The 6,565-nt window shown below is 40.7% G+C and overlaps 2 annotated features.

Moving 5' to 3' along the window:
- Positions 5,894–6,083: an enhancer, noted in NCBI's record as "active region_26815". NCBI's record gives its function as "activates an Ori minimal core promoter by ATAC-STARR-seq in GM12878 lymphoblastoid cells {active_cell/tissue: GM12878}" and the evidence as "EXISTENCE:reporter gene assay evidence [ECO:0000049][PMID:35858748]".
- Positions 6,244–6,303: an enhancer, noted in NCBI's record as "active region_26816". NCBI's record gives its function as "activates an Ori minimal core promoter by ATAC-STARR-seq in GM12878 lymphoblastoid cells {active_cell/tissue: GM12878}" and the evidence as "EXISTENCE:reporter gene assay evidence [ECO:0000049][PMID:35858748]".

Raw genomic sequence — 6,565 nt, forward strand, 5'->3', positions numbered from 1 at the left:
CCATAGTAAGAGAAGCCAGGTATAGAGTCAGGACACTCCCTCCATTAAAGAGTCTTGCCCAAATCCAGTTACTGCACAATCTCTCCTGGGCTCATGGGGTACCTTGGAAGCCTTTTGGGTCGAGTAGGTTTGGGAAACCCAGAGACAGACAGAGAGCTAAGGCATCAAGTAGGTAAGCATGACTACTCCTGCTGACTAGCTCTTACAGATCGATGGGCGAAGGTCATGCTTGCATCAATGGGCAGCACCTATGATGGTTGCTGGGACCCAGAGGAGACAAAAGGAAAGAGGAGAAGGGAGACACCCTTTCTATCTTCCTCTCTACCCTGGGTCACTCTAATGGGAGGGAGAAGACTAAGGGACACCTTTCCCCCCCTCCCTTTCTAGATCTTCAAGCCTTCACTCCACTTGAGTGTAGCCTGGATCTCCTCTAACCCTCAGACCCTGAAGTTCGCTCTGGGAAAGCCCCAAATTCACTCATGTTATAGAGGTCTTCTAGGATTTAACCCAAGTATTTACACTCTCCTGGAAGGATGTTATATTACTCTAAATCAAACCCTAACTGCTGCTGTGAAACAGGAAGCCCTGCAAGCAACAGAGAAATTTGGAGATAAACTTTCTGTCTCATACAGTGCCAGGGAAGGGGAAGAGCCTTAATCAATTGGGAGAGTAGTAATGCCTTTGGAGGACCCTCAATGGGACCATGATAATAGCATCAGAGATGGAGAGGGAAGTTCTTTCAAATGTGTATTTTGGAAGACTTGCAAAAGACTAGAGCCAAACCTATTAACTACCTCAAGCTTTCCATAATAGATCAAAACTAGATGAAAATCCCTCAGCCTGTCTGGAAAAGCTGAGAGAAACGTTAGTGAAACATACCGCCCTGTCTCCCAATTCAACTGAAGGACACCTAATCTTAAATAACATATTTATTACTCAGGCAGCCCCTGATATCACAAGGAAATTGCAAAAACAGGCCCTGTCCAAAGATCTCTCTGATTTTTCTGACCGTCAAGTTGAAGTGTTGCAGTATGTCAATAACATTCTCCTCTGTGCCCCAACCAAGAAAGTCTCAGGAAGGCACTGAGGCTGTCCTCAATTTCTTAGCTAAAAGGAGATATAGGGTTTCAATATCTAAGACTCAGATTTCAGTAAAGTACCTAGGACTAGTCTTATCAGAAGGGACCAGAGCACTAGGTGAGGAAAAGATTAGGCCCATTTTCTCCTTTCCCCTACCCCAAATTCTTAAACACCTGAGGGGATTCTTAGGCATTACTGGATTTTGCAAACTATGGATACCTGGGTATGGTGAGATAGCTCACCTTTTATACTGTCTTATAAAAGAAACTGAAGCAGCTGAGATTCACTACCTGACTTGGAAACTTGGGGCTAAAGAAGCCTTTAACCAGTTAAAACAAACCTTAGGTAAACCATCAGCCCACAGTCTTCCCATAGGGAAGGCATTCGGTCTCTGTGTATCAAAAAGGAAGGGAATGGCCATGGAAGTTTTGACTCAGGCTCAAGGTCCAGCTTAACAGCCAGTAGGTTACCTAAGCAAGGATCTAGACTTGGTGGCTAAAGGATGGCCAGCCTGCTTCTGAGCAGTTGCTGTGGTGGCTTTGCTGGTGCCAGAAGTCACCAAGTTAACCATTGGGAATAAATGTATATACCCAACATAATGTGGTTAGAATTGCTGTTCTCTAAGGGAAGTCTCTGGCTAACAAATAATTGCCTCCTCAAATATCAGGCTCTGCTATTAGAGGGATCACAGTCCAGTTAAAAACCTGTCCTTGTCTGAACCCAGCCACTTTCCTCCCAAAGGAAACTGGAGAACCTGAACATGACTGTGAACAGGTAGTGGTGCAAACTTATGCAGCCAAGGAGGACCTCAAAGAAACTCCCCTAGAAAATCCAGAAGCCGGACATGCCAGCAAAAGGATAAAAGTTTTTTTTTTTTTTTTAACCAGTCGGACTTTTGTCTTCTTTCTCCCTGTGCAAACTGGTAAAAGGAGAGATAAGGATCACTGTTTATATTCTCTGCAAAGTTTTAATTAATGAAAAAGGATGTTCTTAAAGAGTACTCAGCTTAATTAAAAGTGGATATCCTTGGGAGGCTGAGGTGGGCAGATCATGAGGTGAGGAGAACGAGACCATCCTGGCTAACATGGTAAAACTGTCTCTACTAAAAAAAAAAAACAAAAAAAATTAGCCGGGCATAGTGGCAGGAGCCTGTAGTCCCAGCTACACAGGAAGCTGAGGCAGGAGAATGACATGAGCCTGGGAGGTGGAGCTTGCAGTAAGCCAAGATCACGCCACTGCACTCCAGCCTGGGAGACAGAGCGAGACTCTGCCCCCCACCCCCCCCAAAAAAAGTAGATATCCAAGTTATAGGTATATTTTAAAAAGCCTTGGCTGGGCACGGTGGCTCACACCTGTAATCCCAACACATTGAGATGCCAAGGCGGGTGGATTGCCTGAGGCCAGGAGTTTGAGATTACCCTGGCCAACGTGACAAAACCTTGTCTCTACCAAAAATGCCAAAAAAATTAGCTGGGCATGGTAGCGTGTGCCTGTAGTCCCAGCTACTCAGGATGCTGAGGCAGGAGAATCACTTGAACTTGGGAGCGGGGATTGCACTGAGCCAAGATTGCACCACTGCCCTCCAGCCTAGGTGAGACAGCAAGACTTTCTGTCAAAAAAAAAAAAAAGGGCTTTATGTTTTTTTCTTCTTGGATCTTGTTTTTCTGGAAAGGTTTTCTTTTCTTCTTTTTTTTTCCCTCAGTCAACTAAATTACTTTTCTCCACTGTTTCTTGCCACTCTTAATGCATGCATAAAAAGCCCTAGGACAACTTCTAATGGCCTGGGACTCCTTGGAAAAAAGAAAAGACGCCATGGATTCCATTTTGGGAGAAATCTCTATTTTCCTCATGGAACACCAGGAATTGGAGGTAAATAGATTCCTCTCAAAATCTGTTTTTGTATACCAGGTATGCCTGTTTATTAGGCCCTAGAAACTGCATGATTTCCTAGCCCTTCTCTTTAAGGGCTTCACCCTGAGGCTGGTAATCTAATATGGAGATTGATAAACAAACAAACAAAAAACCCTTATAACTGCTGCATCTTCTGTCTGTCTGTGTAGTCATATGTATTATGTGTATAATGTTTATATTTAAAAAGCTCTAATCAATTGGCTTAAAAAATAAGCACTTAGATCAAATATTTTTTGAAGGAAAAATAAAAGCTATAATGCATTTAGTTATGTCACTTTAATCTTTAAGAAATAAGACCAGTCTTAAAGACTATTAGTAAAATACAAATGTCTTCATATGTAAATATGTGGTTTAAATTATGCAGGTCAGATACTAGGTTTGCTAAATGTTTTAAGGTTGTAAACTGCTTCTTTGGTCTTTGAGAACTATTTGACTTGGCTGCTTCACAATTAATAAGCCCTGGGTACATATCAAATTTACCATGCCCTTAACTATGCTGGAAGGGGTCAGACTTTATCTGTGCCTAGTATATAATTAAAACAACTTACCAGGTTTTACATTAAAGTTAAAAATTGCTAAGAGTTACCATTATAACATGTAATTAAGATTACTGAAAATAGATTTACATGCAATGTATGTAAAAACAGTAAACTGTTTTTTAGTAAAAGATTATAAGAAGGTATGGAAATGTAAATTTCTGTCTAGGGTTAAAGGGTTGTTTTAGATTACAGTCATCATTTTGACTAAAATAAATAGCTTATAGTCATCTGGAATTGTATTTTGTAATGTCAAGTGCTTTGAACCTCTAACATATTTAACAGGCTTCCCAAAATCAAACTTCAGTTTCAAGGTTGTCTTTTCTAACCCCTAAGCTTTTGGATGCTACAGAGGGCCCCTGGAGCACCTAACAGGGAGGTAAACAGGATTATTTGTCATGTCTGGGTACGTAGAATTGTCTTTTTTTTTGAGACACAGTTTCACTCTTGTTGCCCAGGCTGGAGTGCAATGGCACGACTTCGGCTCACTGCAACCTCCACCTCCCAGGTTCAAGCAATTCTCCTGCCTCAGCCTCCCAAGTAGCTGGAATTACAGGCATGCACCACCACTCCTGGCTAGTTTTGTATTTTTAGTACAGACGGGGTTTCTCCATGTTGGTCAGGCTGGTCTTGAACTCCTGACCTCAGGTGATCCATCTGCCTTGACCTCCCAAAGTGCTGGGATTACAGGCGTGAGCCACCGTGCCCAGCTGGGATTGTCAAAATGATGTTTAGTATTCTTCAGGTTATATTTTAGTAAATAATATCAACATATATTCCAACATTGTATGGGATTTTAAAAATTATAATGTCTGAATATATGCTACCAACTATAATTAAGGATATTATGTTAAGTTATTGAAAACCACAGAAATAACCAAATTTGTCAATCATGTTCTTAACTGTAAATAACCAGGACATTTCGTCATTTCACAGACAATTGATGTCTTGTTTTGATCCTCTTCAAAAGATGGTTATAATCAGCTATAGGACTCTGACAGGTGCTCTCAAATGCAAGTATCTGATAACTTTGGAGATTATAAACATTGGAATAAAGTAAAAATGTACAGGACTAATGATGAGCTGAAATGTTCATGAATATTAACAAGAGTTAACAAAATGGACTGAACTAACAGAAAACTGAAGTAACCTTTTTAGCCTTTTTGCTTAAAACGTTACTGATCCTTGTTTTGTTTTTCAGTCAAGAAAACTTACCTTGAGCTATTTACTGCCTTCAATAATTGAGTAAGGTATATTCCTGTAAACAAAATTCGAAGCATGTTTGTTTATCTCTGCCTGGCATCTCCAGAATTTGGAAACTATTTGTGAGTATTCCTAAATTATGGCAATATACTTATTTGCATCAGTGCAATAAGAATCCATTTTCTTTTGCAACAAGACACAACTGGAGATACTGGTCATTTTACCAAGGCTTTGACCAGAATGGTGTGCTTCCCTTTAAGGAATCAAGCTTCACTTGCAGAGTCAATAAAAGCCCCTTGGAAAAACTAACCTCATACCTTGTCTACCTAGTCCCTGTACAGGGTTCCTAACCTGTGGTGAGTAAAGAATGTCACTTTCTAACAGGCCCAGGAGCCCCATATTCTTGGGACCTCAAGAAGAGAGGAATTTACCCAACTCATAGATATTTAAGGGTACAAACCCATGGGTGGGCTCAGGTTTAAAAGGTCTCATCTTAGATTTTTTTGTGGAGCACAGTTCCATCAAGGCCAATTTAAAAGCCTCTGTGAAGGATTGGTATTCTTGCTGCACTTTACACAAATAATCAGGCCAAGTATAAAACTAAAGTTTATTTTGCAAACAACTAAGCCTTATCATGATTTGTTTTAGAAAAAATGAGGACTGAACAGAGAGAAATTATGTTTCAAGACATATACACTTGTCAATTAATTCTAATCTCAGTTGTTTTTAAGTTTTTGTCTACATTATAGATTCACCTTGCTTATTCCTGTAAACCAACCAGTGATCTATGGCTGCAGCTCAGAAGAAACAAAAGGGATAGGGAATATAAATAATCTGGATCAATATTTTAATTCTGAGCAATTATCCTGCAAATCCTACCAGGTGATGGGAATAGATAGGGTGCCCATAACTCAGAGGTTTGTTTGTTTGGGAGAATAAGACCAAGAAACCTAACCAAAGTCAAGTCCCATGCACCCAAATCTTAACAGGCATAACTATAGCCACCAGTTACTTGGGAGTGTTGACAGCCTTGGGATTTTTGAGCTGTCCTTACCCCCACCTTGTTTTGTTTTGATACATGTCCTCTAATAATCCAAACTGTTTCTTCTCACTTAGAGGCCATTGAACTTCAAATGGTAATGTAAATGGAACCACACATGGCCACACCATTCTTCTGGGGACCCTTAAATTAACCTCAAGAGGAGCCTTGACTGTTATAGTCCCCCACACGATGCCACTATTTAGCCAGAATTAGCTAGAAAGATCATCACCCAACCTCCCTAACAGCAGCTGGGGTCTCCAGTCCTGAGTGGGGAAATGAGAGCAGAAAAAGGAAAAAAACACCCAGGTAAGCAGACAGTTAAGGCCAGTCCTCAGTAGAATTCTTTTAAACAGAGAAAAAAACCTGAAAAATCAAGCTGCAGCTGCACAGATAAGGGAGCAAGGCCCAATATAGAAACAACTTTGTTCTCTGTGTAATTGGTGGGCTCCCAGGGAAAAGTTTCCTCCTCTTCTATGAACATGCACACAGTGGGATCCGTGGAAACTTGCATGGTAAGGAGGCTTGCCTGAGACATGCCTGCAGCTGCACCGGTAAGGGCAATTACACAGACAGCTACACAGATAGGGGAAGTGGTTTTTTTTTTTTTTTTTTTTTTTTTTTTTTTTTTTTTTTTTTTTTTAATAAAAGCACCTGTATTCAACTGAAAAAAAGGCAACCCTCTCAGGTCCCCCTTCTACTGCAAAGAGCTTTCCTATTTTGCTTATTAAACCTTTGCCCCAGCTTCACCTTTGGTGTCCATGGTCCTTAATTTTCTTGGTCATTAGACAAAGAG

This window comes from Homo sapiens, chromosome 7, assembly GCF_000001405.40.
Source record: "Homo sapiens chromosome 7, GRCh38.p14 Primary Assembly".
NCBI lineage: Eukaryota > Metazoa > Chordata > Mammalia > Primates > Hominidae > Homo > Homo sapiens.